This window comes from Homo sapiens, chromosome 20, assembly GCF_000001405.40.
Source record: "Homo sapiens chromosome 20, GRCh38.p14 Primary Assembly".
Classification (NCBI taxonomy): domain Eukaryota; kingdom Metazoa; phylum Chordata; class Mammalia; order Primates; family Hominidae; genus Homo; species Homo sapiens.
The window spans coordinates 43,689,149-43,703,986 of NC_000020.11; the positions used below are offsets into that span (position 1 = coordinate 43,689,149).

The following is a 14,838-nucleotide window of genomic DNA, read 5'->3' on the forward strand; positions in this document are numbered from 1 at the left end:
ACTAGTGGCTGTCTTCTACCTGTTTCTCTTTGTCCTTGTGAATTTTTGCCTTGCTTTATTTTGAATCCCTTTTTTTGTCATGGCAGTGTGGTCCTGGCAGGGAGAGAAAATGCCAGATGGTGTGTTTTCCCCAAAGTCTGAAATGATCCCTTTTCAAAGCTCAAACCTGAATGTGTCATCTTTCTGGGGCTTCCCCTGACACTTGGGTTGGAAACTCTGGCTTCTTTCCCCCCATGGCCTGTTTGGCTCACAGGTGCCACCAGCCTCACCTTGATCCACTGTCACTTGTGCTTACTCGGTGTTAGCTGCTTTGCCTCCTTTCAGTCCCTCGAACCCTGAGCTCTTCTCAGAGCTCCTAGTGCTCCTCTGTCGGCCTGCAGTGCACTCCCGCTTGTGCCTATTGTGTAGCTAATGTGTTCTCATCCTTCAGTTCTCAGTGGGGGTGCTATTTCTTCAGAGAAGTTTTCTCTGTTCTCCCAGACTGTGGTTGGTCTCTGGTGACCTCTGTGTTGTGCCCACACCTGTCTGCAGAGTAGTGTGTACCCCAGTTGTAGCTGAAGATAACATTCATCTCCCCTGCTAGATTTAACTGTCAATGGCAGCCACTTGTCTTATTTACCAGATGGATCCCCAGTGCCTACAATAATGCCTGGCACACAGTGGGTGCTTTTTATATGCGAGCAAAAGAAGGAGTCTCACTATAGCTTGGGGCACCCCAGACTCTGGTCTTGGGGAGTGGGAGGGCTGGGGAGGTGTTTTGGGTCAGGTTCCCTGGAAGCGGAACCTGTGACTCAAGAGTTTCAGGTACATGGGATCTCTTGGAAAGGTTCTCACCTGTGAGGGAAGGAGTGGAGAAAAGAAGGGAAGGGGCCAAGCAAGGGATGGGGTCTTGGAAAATAGAGCTTTGGCCTGCTATAAGGCCAAGGAGTGTGTGTGTTCACATGTATGCATGCGAGGTATGTACATATGAGGAGGGCGCATGTGTACATGGGTTGGGGAACTCCTGGGGCATCTTCGGTTGTGCCTTCCAAGAGCTGTTTTTTGTTTTTTTTTTTTTGTTTGTTTTTTGTTTTTTGAGACGGAGTCTTGCTCTGTCGCCCAGGCTGGAGTGCAGTGGCGTGACCTCAGCTCACTGCAACCTCCGCGTCCCAGGTTCAAGCGATTCTCCTGCCTCAGCCTCCTGAGTAGCTGGGATTACAGGTATGCACCACCACGCCTGGCTAATTTTTGTATTTTTGGTAGAGACGGGATTTCACCATGTTGGCCAGGCTGGTGTTGAACTCCTGACCTTAGGTGATCTGCTTCCAAGGGCTCTTATGCAGATAAAGTCATAGTAGAAGCCGTCGGCAGCATGCCCGGCAGCTGGGGGATTGGATTCGCTGTAGGGACAGAGGATCTGGGCAAAGCACCAGGAGCACCCCTTACCCTACACCTTTGCCCAGTGAGCATTGTGTCCCTGAAGGCTTAGAGTGCAAATGATCCGAGGATATTCTCTTAGACTGGGTGCTCAGTTAAGCTGTTACTCTCTGTTCACTTTTCAAGGAAAGAGTATTCTGCTTGGCACTCCAAAGAAGGTGGTGACTACTATGTGTCAGCACAGTACCTTTGTATTTTTAGTAGAGATGGGGTTTCACTATGTTGGCCAGGCTGGTCTTGAACTCCTGACCTCAGGTGATCCACCTGCCTCAGCCTCCCAAAGTGCTGGGATTACAGGCGTGAGCCACCGCGCCTGACCTGCCGCTTGCTTCTCACCACTATACTTCTATACACTTTTGTGGTACTATCCCGTCCTTCTGTATTACTCTATGCCTTTATTACTACATGTTTCTCTGCTACTCTACTCTGTGCTTTATGCTACTGTTCTACTGTAGATGTGTCTCCTCCCTGAATCTTCAGTGAGTGATGGAGTATGACGTAGTCTTCTGACCTTCCAGATAAAGAAACCAAGGCTTAGGGAGGTGAACAGTTCTGGGCCTTCTGCCCTCTTTGGCCACTTATCAGTCTGTGGGAGGTGAACAGGCCTTGCATCTGAGGTCAGCGTGAGACTCAGTGGAAATGAGCAGACAGTGTTGCTTATGGCTTCTACACATTCGAAGTGGGCAGGGAAGGGGGTGAGAGTTCCAAGCACATATCTTCAGTTTTATAATTTTTAAAAAATTTAAAATTTTTTTTTTCATTTTTATTTATTTTTGAGATGGAGTCTCACTCTGTTGCCCAGGCTGTAGTGCAGTGGCGCAATCTCGGCTCATCACAACCTCCACCTCCCGGGTTTAAGCGATTCTCATGCCTCAGACTCCCAAGTAGCTGGGATTACAGGTGCCTGGCATCACGCCCAGCACCTCCCAAAGTGCCAGGATTACAGGCGTGAGCCACTGTTCCTGGTCTTATATATACATTTTTTTTTTTTTTGAGGTGGAATTTTACTTTTGTTCCCAGGCTGGAGTGCAATGGCATCATCTTGGCTAACCACAACCTCTACCTCCTGGGTTCAAGCGATTCTCCTTCCTCAGACTCCCAAGTAGCTGGGATTACAGGCATGTGCCACCATGCCTGGCTAATTTTGTATTTTTAGTAGAGACAGGGTTTCTCTGTGTTGGTCAGGCTGGTCTCGAACTCCCGATCTCAGGTGATCTGCTCGCCTAGGCCGCCCAGAGTGCTGGGATCACAGGTGTGGTGAGCCACCGCACTCGGCAATTTTTTTTTTTTTTTAATTAAAAAAAATTTTGTTTTTTACCTGAACCTGACAGTAGCTGGTGCCATTTTATAATTTTTGCCATAGCCTGAATGATTCAGTTGCTTATTTCACAGAGCTTCGTGGAAATGCTCTGTAAATTATTAGGGCTAGAGACTTGTGAGACTTCATCTTGGAACTGAAAGAGACCTTAGAGTTCATCTAGTGGAAGATTCATTTACAGGAGCAGGAACTTGGCTTAGGGAGGTTAGTGATGTGCCTGATGGCACCCCACCCACAGAGCTGGGGTTCAAAGGCCCCCTGCTGCCCCCTGCAGGACAGACAATGCTGTGAAGAATCACTGGAACTCTACCATCAAAAGGAAGGTGGACACAGGAGGCTTCTTGAGCGAGTCCAAAGACTGCAAGCCCCCAGTGTACTTGCTGCTGGAGCTCGAGGACAAGGACGGCCTCCAGAGTGCCCAGCCCACGGAAGGCCAGGTGAGACAGCTGCTCAGCCTTTGGCTTGGTTTGATTTCACATTCATCTGACACCATCTCATTGAACACCTTGTCCACAGCTATTGGTCAGTTTCTGCCACAGAGTCTAAAAGTGGGCTCTGTGCTTCTGGGGCCTTGTGAGACTTCTGCACATAACTGGCACTTGTCTGCCTGCAGATGAAGGATAGCAGAGCAAGCTGATTATATAAAACTGTGAATTAGTTAAGGAGATCCTCAGCCTCCATCTCTCCTTGCTGGTGGCCACCTTCTTACCTGTTGCTCATTTTAATTTTTTAAAACTGAAAGCATGTTTGCAATAAAAAAATCAGAGGTGGCTGGGTGCGTTGGTTCACACCTGTAATCCCAGCAAGTTGAGAGGCTGAAGCGGGCGGATTGCTCAAGCCCAGGAGTTGGAGGCCAGTTCAGGCAACATGGTGAAACCTTGTCTCTATCTTTTTAATTAAAAAAAATTAAAAAATGTATTGAGTTGTAATTTACGTACTCTAATAAACAGTTTTGAGTTATGACAAAGCATACAGCCATGTAACCACTGTCACAGTCAAGGTATACAACAGTCCCATCACCCCAGAATTCCCTCGTGCTCCTTTTCTTAGCCTTTTTTCGGCCCTTAGCTCCTTGCACTGTGATCTGTTTTCTGTCTCTATAATTTTGACTTTTCTAGAAATTAACAATTAAAATCCTATAGTATTACATTTGCAGGCTGTTTTTTTTGAGACAGAGTTTTGCTCTGATGCCCAGGCTGGAGTTGCAGGGTGTGATCTTGGCTCACTGTAACCTCTGCCTCCTGGGATCAAGCGATCTCATGCCTCAGCAACCTGAGTAGCTGAGATTACAGGCATGCACCACCACGCCTGACTAATTTTTGCATTTTTAGTAGAGATGGGGTTTCACCACGTTGGCCAGGCTGGGTTTGAATTCCTAGCCTGAAGAGATCCGCCTGCCTTGGCCTCCCAAAGTGTTGGGATTACAGATGTGAGCCACCATGTCTGGCACTACATTTGCAGTTTTTATTTATTTATTTTTTGAGATGGAGTCTCTGTCGCTCAGGCTGGAGTGCAGTTATATGATAGCTCACTGCAACCTCCGCCTCCCAGGTTAAAGCGATTCTGCTAACTCAGCATCCCGAGTAGCTGGGATTACAGGTGCACACCACCATGCCTGGCTAATTTTTGTATTCTTAGAGATGGGGGTCTCACCATGTTGGTCAAACTGGTCTCAAACTCCTGACTTCAAATGATCCACCCACCTGAGCCTCCCAAAGTGCTGGCATTACAGACGTGAGCCAGCATGCCCCAGCTACATTTGCAGTTTTAAAAATGAAATCAGTATATACTTATGTTAACATCCACTGTCCTATATACCAGAGCAAAGTTTTTATTTATATTTTTTAGCTATATCTCTAAAGGTTATTTTTCAAAATAAAAATTTGGGTAGGGCGTGGTGGCTAACATCTGTAATCCCAGCACTTTGGGAGGCCAAGGCTTTTGGATCTCTTGAGCCCAGGAGTTTAAGACCAGCTTGGGCAACATGGTGAAACCCCATTTCTATAAAAAGGAAAATTAGCTGTGTGTGATTTTGTGCACCTGTAGTCCCAGCTACTTGGGAGGCTGAGGTGGAAGGATTATTTGAGCCTGGGAGGTGGAAGTTGCAGTGAGTTGAGATCCCGCCACTGCACTCCAGCTTTTATTTATAAATAAAATAAAAATTTGAAGGCCGGGCACGGTGGCTCACGCCTGTAATTGCAGCATTTTGGGAGGCCGAGGCGGGTGGATCACGAGGACAGGAGATTGAGACCATCCTGGCTAACACGGTGAAACCCCGTCTCTACTAAAAGTACAAAAAATTAGCTGGGCGTGGTGGCGGGTGCCTGTAGTCCCAGCTACCCAGGAGGCTGAGGCAGGAGAATGGCGTGAACCCGGGAGGCAGAGCTTGCAGTGAGCCGAGATCACGCCACTGCACTCCAGCCTGGGTGACAGAGTGAGACTCTGTCACAAAAAAATAAAACTAAAGAAAATTAAATAAATAAATAAAAATTTGAAGCAAGCATGACAAAAAATAGATTTGATGATGCCGGCTGTGTGGTAGGTAACAATTGTCCTTTGTTATTTTCTAATCTTTTCTGTCATGGTGTGAACTATTTAATAATTTTAAAAAATCTTTTTCCCTCTTCTTACTGGGTAGAGATAACTTGTTGACAGTTACAATTCTTCCACAATGCCCTGCTAGAGCGATATATTATGTTTTTGCCTCTATTTCTTGAATTTTCAATTTTAGAGAATATCTCTCGATTGCCCAATATGAATGCACCTATGGGGTAACTTTCAAAGGGCAGAGAAATGTATCAAATGAAAAGTAAAACGACTTCTTTTTCTGGTTTCAACTCCCTGTGCATCTCTTAACCGGAGGAGTCTACTTCTGACAATTTCTTGTACATCTAAGTAGTATGTGTTTGATCTTTTACTTCTGATTGAAGAAAAGGTCTCCGTTCCACAAAGAGAAACAGCGGGCATCAGCCGACTCATAGAAGACTTTCAGCATAGGACAGAGTGAACAGATCTCTAGTCTCTTAAAAACTCTACTGTGCTGAAAGCCAGTTATTGACTTGGCTTTTGTCCCCTGACACTTTGAGTGTCTGGAGTGCTGGCTGTGCTGGGCTGGGACCAAGCCCCAGACCATGACCCTGAGCACAGGAGGTCAATTTTTTTTTTTTTTTGGAGACAGAGTCTTGCTCTTGCCCAGGCTGGAGTGCAGTGGTGCCATCTCTGCTTGCTGCAACCTCCACCTCCCAAGTTCAAGTGGTTCTCCTGCCTCAGCCTCCTGAGTAGCTGGGAAACTGGGATTATAGGCATTCGCCACCATCCTGGCAAATTTTTGTATTTTTAGTAGAGATGGGGTTTTGCCATTTTGGCCAGGCTGGTCTTGAACTCCTGACCTCAGGTGATCCACCTGCCTCAGCCTCTCAAAGTGCTAGGATTGCAGGCATGAGCCACCATGCCGGGCCTGTGTTGATTTCAGCCTTACCCGTGTCTCTCCAATGTGGTCTTTCTGGTGTGCTATTTATTTAACTAGTTTCTTACTGATGTAGATAAGGGTATTACTGGTTTTTTGTTATTAGAGATAAAACTCTTAACAGTCACCCTTGTGGCCAAATGACTGCTTCTTTGTGCAGTTATTTCTTGAGAAATTCCTAGAGATGGACAAATATATTTGGTGGTGGGGGGAACCCTTTTGGCTGAGTATGGTGGCTCATTCCTGTAATCCCAGCACTTTGTGAGGCCAAGTTGGGAGGATTCCTTGAGGCCAGGAGTTTGTGACCAGTCTGGGCAACATAGGGAGACTGTCTTTACAAAAAAAAAAAAAAGCTGGTGCGGTGGCACACACCTGTAGTTCCAACTACTTTGGAGCCTGGGGCAGGAAGTTCACTTGAGCCCAGTATTTCAACAGAGTGAGACTCTGTCTTTGAAAAAGCAAACAGGCCAGGCGTCATGGCTTACACCTGTAATCTCAGCACTTTGGGAGGCTGAGGTGGGCGTGGTGACACAGGCTTGTAATCCCAGCTACTCGGGAGGCTGAGGCACGATAATTGAGAATCCACTTGAACTGGCGTGGCGGAGGTTGCAGTGAGCCGAGTTCGCACTGCTGCACTCCAGCCTTGGGTGACAGCAAGACTCTGTCTTAAAAAGAAAAGAAAAAAAACCTCTTAATACATTTTGTTAGATTGCTGCCAGAAGAATTTTGCATGTTAATTCGTGTATGGGACCACTCCCAACTTCTCCACTCACTGGTCAGTGCTTGCTATTATAAAATTGTTTCCTCTGCTTCAGAAGTAATGCGTGATCATTGCAAAAACTTAACAACTTTATAGAATTGGGCAATGCAGAAGGTTGAGCCTGCTCATCTCAACTTTTTTTTTTTTTTGAGACGGAGTTTTGCTCTTGTTGCCCAGGCTGGAGTGCAGTGGTATGATCTTGGCTCACCGCAACCTCCGCCTCCCGGGTTCAAGCGATTCTCCTGCCTCAGCCTGCCGAGTAGCTGGGATTACAAGCATGTGCCACCATGCCTGGCTAATTGGGGTTTCTCCATGTTGGTCAGGCTGGTCTCAAACTCCTGACCTCAGGTGATCTGCCCACCTTGGCCTCCCAAAATACTGGGATTACAGGCGTGAGCCACCACACCAGGCTTAAAATTAGACGATGTCTTACTCTTTTACAACTTTCTTTTTCTATTTAACATATCGTTCCATGTTGTTATGTGTATTCAGATCTCCAACATTCCTGAATTTGCCGTATCTTATTTAACCATTATATTGTCAAACATCTGTTACTATTTCCATCAATGCTATAATGATCATCATTGTTCAGTTTCTTTGTACATTTGCTGAACTGTGTGGTTGATTTTTTTGTTTTTAGATGGGGTCTCACTCTGTTGCCAGGCTGGAGTGCAGTGGTGTGACCTTGGCTCACTGCAACCTCCGCCTCCCGGGTTGAAGTGATTCTCCTGCCTCAGCCTCCTGAGTAGCTGGGATTACAGGCATGCAGCACCATGCCCAGCTAATTTTTGTATTTTTAGTAGAGATGGGGTTTCACCATGTTGGCCAGGATGGTCTCGATTTCTTGACCTCGTGATCTCCCCGCCTCAGTCTCCCAAAGTGCTGGGATTACAGGCGTGAGCCACTGCGCCCGGCCGGTTGATTTTATAGATGTGGAATGATTGGGTAAAATAGTGTGGACATTTGAAGTTTTCATAAGCATTGCCGAATTGCTGCCAAAGGGATTGTACTGTTTAATCCTGCTATAGGTGGTATATAGGACTGCTTGTTTCCAGCCTTATTGTCAATACCGGCTATGGTTATATGAAAAAAAATCTTTGCCAGTTTTAATGAGCAACAAATGCATTATCATGTTCTTATTTTGATTGAATTACTTTGGAGTTGATCTTTTTTTTTTCAGCTTTATTAAAATATAATTGACAAATAAATTGCATATATTGACCAGGGGCGGTGGCTCATGCCTGTATTCCCAGCACTTTGGGAGGCTGAAGTGGGCGGATCACTTGAGGCTAGGAGTTTGAGGCCAGCCTGGCCAATACGGTGAAACCCCATCTCTACTAAAAATATAAAAAATTAACCGGGTGTGGTGGTGCACGCCTGTAGTCCCAGCTGCTCAGGAGGCTGAGGCATGAGAATCACCTGAACCTGGGAGGTGGAGGTTGCAGTGAGCTGAGAGTGTGCCTCTGCACGCCAGCCTGGGTAACAGCAAGACTCTGTCTCAAAAAACAACAAGGGCTGGGCGCAATGGCTCACGCCTGTAATCCCAGCACTTTGGGAGGCTGAGGCAGGCGGATCACGAGGTCAGGAGATGGAGACCATCCTGGCTAGCATGGTGAAACCCCATCTCTACTAAAAATACAAAAAAGAACCCAAAAAATTAACCGGTCATGGTGGCGGGCACCTGTAGTCCCAGCTACTAGGGAGGCTGAGGCAGGAGAATGGCGTGAACCTGGGAGGTGGAGCTTGCAGTGAGCCGAGATCGCGCCACTGCATTTCAGCCTGGGCAACAGAGTGAGACTCCATCTCAAAAAAAAAAAAAAAAAATTGCGTGTATTTATGGTGTGCAATGTGATGTTTTGATTCATTGTTTTGGTTTTCATTTCTTTTACTATTAATGAGGGTGAGTAACAAATTACCCCTTAATTTGTTAATTTGTTATTTGGCTTGGTTGTCTTTTTTTTTTTTTTTTTTTATCTTGTTACTGGTTTGTACATTTTATTTGTATATTAAGGATGCTACTCCTTTATCATGTAGTAACTATTTTTTCCCAGTTTGGTAGCTTTTTTTCTTTATTTTATAAAGGTATAATTTACATACAATAAAATTCACTTTTTGTTTGTTCGTTTGTTTTATAGAGATGGGGTTTGCCCAGGCTGGTCTCGAACTCCTGGGCTCAAGGGATCTGTCTGCCTTGGCCTCCCAAAGTGTTGGGATTACAGGTGTGAGCCACCACGCCCCGCATATTTTTTTTTTTTTTTTTTTTTTTTTTTTTTTTTTTTTTTTTTTTGAGACAGAGTCTCGTTCTGTAGCCCAGGCTGGAGTGCAGTGGCGCAGTCTCGGCTCACTGCAAGCTCCATCTTCCGGGTTCACACCATTCTCCTGCCTCAGCCTCTCAAGTAGCTGGAACTACAGGCGCCTGCCACCACACCTGGCTAATTTTTTGTATTTTTAGTAGAGATGGGGTTTCACCGTGTTAGCCAGGATGGTCTCGATCCTCCTGACCTTGTGATCCGCCCGTCTCGGCCTCCCAATGTGCTGGGATTACAGGCGTGATTTTTTTTTTTTTTTTTTTTTTAAATGAGCAGGGTCTTGCTCTGTACCCCAGACTGTAGTGCAGTGGCGTGATCATAGCTCACTGCAACCTTGAACTCATGAACTCAAGGGGTCCTCTTGCCTGAGCTTTTCAGAGTTCTGGGATTACAGGTGTGAGCCGCCACACCCAGCCCCCTCCCCCCTCCCTTTTTTTTTTATTAGAGTCTTGTTGTGTTGCCCAGGCTGGAGTGCAGTGGTGTGATCATAGCCCATTGCAACCTTGAATTCAGGAACTCAAGGGACCCAATTGCCTCAGCCTCCCAAAGTGCTAGAGTTACAGGCATAAGCCACTGTACCTGGTCTTTTTATTTTTTAATGTTTATTAAGCATTAAAAATTTATTTTTTAATTTTTTTGAGACAGAGTTTTGCTCTTGTTACCTAGGCTGTAGTGCAATGGTGCGATCTCAGCTCACTGCAACCTCTGCCTCCCAGGTTCAAGCAATTCTCCTGCCTCAGCCTCCCGAGTAGCTAGGATTACAGGTGCCTGCCACCACACCTGGCTAATTTTGTTTTGTTTTGTTTTTAGTAGAGACAGGGTTTCACCATGTTGGCCAGGCTGATCTCGAACTCTTGACCTCAGGTGATCCACCAGCCTCGACCTCCCAAAGTGTTGGGATTACAGGCGTGAGCCTCTGCACCCAACCTCTGTGTATTACTTCTTTCATCTGAGCCATTTGAGAGTTAGTTATGTAGCATAGATTCCTAAGAATAAGGCCATTTGCTTACATAACCACAATAAAGTTATATTCAATCCAGGGAATTTAAGCCTAATTCAGGATCTTTATCTACAGTTTATATTCCATTTTTCCCTGTCCATGATGCAGTCTAAGACCAGACATTGCATTTAGTTGTCCTATCCCTTTAGTCAGCCTTTCTTAGTGTCATGATGTTGACATTTTGGAAGTATATGGTATGGCTAATTATTCTGTAGAATGTTTCTCTATTTGGGTTCATCACAGTTTCCTTCTTAGATTCAGGTTGTGTGGTTTAGCTGGAAACTACTATATAGTCTATATCTCAGCGAAATGCAAATGGTGTATTCTTGTGTCTTACAGGGAAGTCTTCTGACCAACTGGCCCTCCGTCCCTCCTACCATAAAGGAGGAGGAAAACAGTGAGGAGGAACTTGCAGCAGCCACCACATCGAAGGAACAGGAGCCCATCGGTACAGATCTGGACGCAGTGCGAACACCAGAGCCCTTGGAGGAATTCCCGAAGCGTGAGGACCAGGAAGGCTCCCCACCAGAAACGAGCCTGCCTTACAAGTGGGTGGTGGAGGCAGCTAACCTCCTCATCCCTGCTGTGGGTTCTAGCCTCTCTGAAGCCCTGGACTTGATCGAGTCGGTATGTTGGTCACAACACTTCACAGTGAGCACAGAACACCCCCAGCAGGAAGTGCTTCTCTCTCAGGCCCACATCCTTTTGCTCATTCCATCGCCCTGCTAACAGTTACTGACTTGATGCTGAATGCCTAGCCCTGACCCAAGGGCTGGGGACACCAGGGTTGTCAGCATGCAGTCCCTATCCTTGGGGAGCTCCCGGTGTGTGCAGCAGGAGTTTGTGGTGGCATCTGACCTCTATGTATGGCACAGGGCGGGGTGGGAAGGCTGCCCAGAGGAGGTGGCACTGAACTGAGTCCTAAAGGTTGACTGGCAGGTGACAGCACAGGACAGCGTGGTATTTGTGGCATCACACATGGTTGGGTCTCCCTGAAGAGGAGCCCAGGAAATGCCAAGTCTTGGTGCTGGTCTTGGAGTGGTGAGTGGGTTCTGGTTACTCAGGGTGGGGCAGCCATTGAGCCCGTGTTGTGGTTACTGTGTTGGCTGTGTGGTTGTGTCCTTTGAGGAGGGCTTCTTGGTGTGACACCCCGGCTCCTGGCTGCATCGGCCAGGCCTGCTGTGTAGAGCGGGTTTTGGGAGGTGAAAGACCAGAGGCCTGGTCACTAGGGTGGGGAGTTCAGTATGGGGGTCCGTGTTCGCCTTTCCACCCAGGTGTCTCCCATCCTAGAACATCTAACTGCCAGGGTCTGAGCTTAACATACAGTCTGCGTGGTATCCTGTGAGGTGTGTCATTTCTGTTTTTTAGGTGAAACTGAGGCTCAGAGAGGTCAAGTAGTGTACCCAAGGTTGCACAGCAAGTATACTTGGTGGTCTTGACTGCCATGCTATGCTCCTGCTACTATCGCTTGGCAGGCACAGCTCGCTTGTATTGAGCACCCACTGATTGCCGGAGCCAGTGCTTAATGAGTAATTACAGTACCTAACATTGGAGTGCTTGCCGCGTGCCAGGCCCATCACTTGCTACCTAATGTGTAGGCTCTTAGTTGGTCTTTAACAGCCTGTGAGGTGGGTAGTGGACTCATCAACAGTGAGAGCACCCCACGCTCAGAGAGGTTAGGAGACTTGGCCAGGTTCACACAGCCGGTGACCTCCAGGAACAGGAGTTAAACCTTGCTGTCCGGCTCAGAGCTCAGGCTCTTTCCACAATGACCTTCAGCGCCTGTTGGGGGAGTTACTGCGTGTGTGGAAATCCCATCTTCCCTCCTCTGCTCCGTCCACTTCAGTGGTCCTTGTAGGATGTACTTCTGGTCTACCAGACACTGTCGGTGCTGGGTCCTCCCTGAATTGGGGTGTGGGCCTGAGGTCGGTCCTGCCCCCCAGCTGGCCTCCACCCTTAGGAGTGAACTACCCCAGGGAACCAGAACTCGGCTTTAGTGTCTGGGTCCACTCAGAAGCCAGAACCCAAAGACCAAAGTGGAAGCCTCTGTGTCCAGAAGCCTTTTGGTTTGTGTTGTGATTTATTGGGTAAAGGAGGGAAAACCTGTAGTGACTCACGGGCTTGTTCTAGAAGCTGAGTGAGTAACTTTGGGAAGACCGAATCCCCTTAGCTCAGCTTCCTTGGTATGAAAGGGAAAGTAATGCTTCCCTAGCAGAATTGTGGGGATTGGAAATAACTTTTGTGAGCTGCCCCAAGGAGGCATCAATGATGAGTGACATCCCATTCACTGCTCTATATTTCGTTCTATAAAAATATCTGCAGGCTGGGTACTGTGGTTCATGTCTGTAATCCCAGCACTTTGGGAGGCTGAGGTGAGAGGATCACGTGAGCCCAGGAATTTGAGACCAGCCTGGGTAACACAGTGAAACACAGTCTCTATAAAAAATATTTTAAAAAATTAGCTGAAGCCGGGTGCAGTGGCTCACACCTGTCATCCCAGCACTTTTGGAGGCCAAGGTGGTCAGATCACCTGAGGTCAGGAGTTCGAGACCAGCCTGGCCAATATGGGTGTGGTGGCACACGCCTGTAGTCCCAGCTACTCAGGAGGCTGAGGCAGGAGAATTGCTTGAACCCGGAAGGCGGAGGTTGCAGTGAGCCGAGGTTGCACCACTGCACTACAGCCTGGGCGACAGAGCAAGTCTCTGTCTCAAAAAAAAGTAAAAAATAAAAAATTAGCCGAGAATGGTGGTACATGTCTGTAGTCCCAACTACTCGGGAGGCTGAGGCGGGAGGATCACTTGAACCCAGGAGTTCAAGCCTGCAGTGAGCTGTGATTGTGCTACTGTACTCCAGCGTAGGCAACAGAGTGAAACCCTGTCTCTTTAAAGAAAAGAAGAATCTATGAAAATATAGATGTATAGTCATAGAAAACTTTGAGGAAATGCATGAAATATTAATGATTGGTCCTGGGCTGTGGGATCATACTTGACACTTAAATATTTCCCGTAATGAATGAGTCCTCTTGTATTAAGAGCATAGTAATTGCAATTCCTAACCTCCCTCCCTGGACAGGACCCTGATGCTTGGTGTGACCTGAGTAAATTTGACCTCCCTGAGGAACCATCTGCAGAGGACAGTATCAACAACAGCCTAGTGCAGCTGCAAGCGTCACATCAGCAGCAAGTCCTGCCACCCCGCCAGCCTTCCGCCCTGGTGCCCAGTGTGACCGAGTACCGCCTGGATGGCCACACCATCTCAGACCTGAGCCGGAGCAGCCGGGGCGAGCTGATCCCCATCTCCCCCAGCACTGAAGTCGGGGGCTCTGGCATTGGCACACCGCCCTCTGTGCTCAAGCGGCAGAGGAAGAGGCGTGTGGCTCTGTCCCCTGTCACTGAGAATAGCACCAGTCTGTCCTTCCTGGATTCCTGTAACAGCCTCACGCCCAAGAGCACACCTGTTAAGACCCTGCCCTTCTCGCCCTCCCAGGTGCGTGGACCCCACTCTGGCTGCTTATTGGGTCGGTACAGACACCTAGTGTTCAGTGCTGGGGCAAGGGTGAGCAAAACGAGACCTGGCTCTGCCCTCATGCAGCTTATGCTCTGGTAGGAAGACCAGGTAACTAAAAAAGACTCAGAAAATGTGATAATCAGGATGAAAGAGAAGGCTTATGGTGCTGCATATGTGTATCTAGTCTGGGCAAGTCCAGGAAGACTGCCAGGAGGAGAAGGAGGATGCTGGTAACTGGGTAATGAAGGAGAGGAAGAGAACTGTCGTGTTTGTTCAGTCCACGTATGGAACCTATTTCACAGCAGACTTACCAGCACTGGGGAGCAAAGATGAAGATGATGGGTTGTCTCCAGCACTGGCTGGCCCTGCCTGGTCCTGGGAAGACCTGGGATAGCCAGTGCTGGGGATGGGCTTGTAATGAATTAACCAGAATAGAGTGTGGGAAGTGCCATGTGATAGCAATTGCGAAGTCACTGAGAACTCACTGTTCTGGGTGTTGCCCCTGGGTGCTCTGTTAGTAACACACAGAGCCTCGGGAGCCGGGATGGGTGCCAGGGTCTCTCTGAGATAGAGGTCATGGGGGGCACCTGGCCTTCCTGCAGAGAGGTGTCTGGGCTGGGTCTCCTTGAGCACCTTGACCAAAGGCACAGAAAAGGAAGGACAGAGTGGATGTGTGGAGTGGTGGGGGGTGGCGCAGGGCCTTGGTGGGCCTAGGTATAACTTAGGGCTTTGGCTCTCATTAGGTTTGTTCTTCCTGTGAGGCTGTGGGAGAGAGCGAGGCCCTGAGGTGGCCTGGTGCAGGAGGCCACCCTGTCATCACGGGTCAGGATGGCTAGTGGCATTTTGAGAGAGACCCTGTGTCGGTTTGCTCCGGCTGCTTAACAGAGTACCACAGGCTCGGTGGATTTGACAAGAAATTCAGCAGTGTTGGTTTCTACTGAGGCCTCTCTCCTTGGCTTGTAGATGCTGGCGGCTCCTGTGTCTTCACGTGGTCACCTGTGTCCTAATCTATTATTTTTTCTTGTAAAACCTCTTATTTTATAATGTTATAAGGACACCCGT

General features: G+C 47.8%; 1 protein-coding gene across 2 annotated transcripts in view; it reads left to right on the forward strand.

The window, feature by feature from the left end:
- Positions 1–14,838, forward strand: part of MYBL2 (MYB proto-oncogene like 2) — a 49,369-nt gene that overhangs the window by 22,035 nt on the left and 12,496 nt on the right. For both annotated transcript variants that reach the window (NM_002466.4, NM_001278610.2), the window contains 3 exons: positions 3,009–3,171; positions 10,609–10,896; positions 13,342–13,755. In NM_002466.4, coding sequence (NP_002457.1) covers positions 3,009–3,171; positions 10,609–10,896; positions 13,342–13,755 — 865 coding nt within the window. The remainder of the gene's footprint in view (positions 1–3,008; positions 3,172–10,608; positions 10,897–13,341; positions 13,756–14,838) is intronic.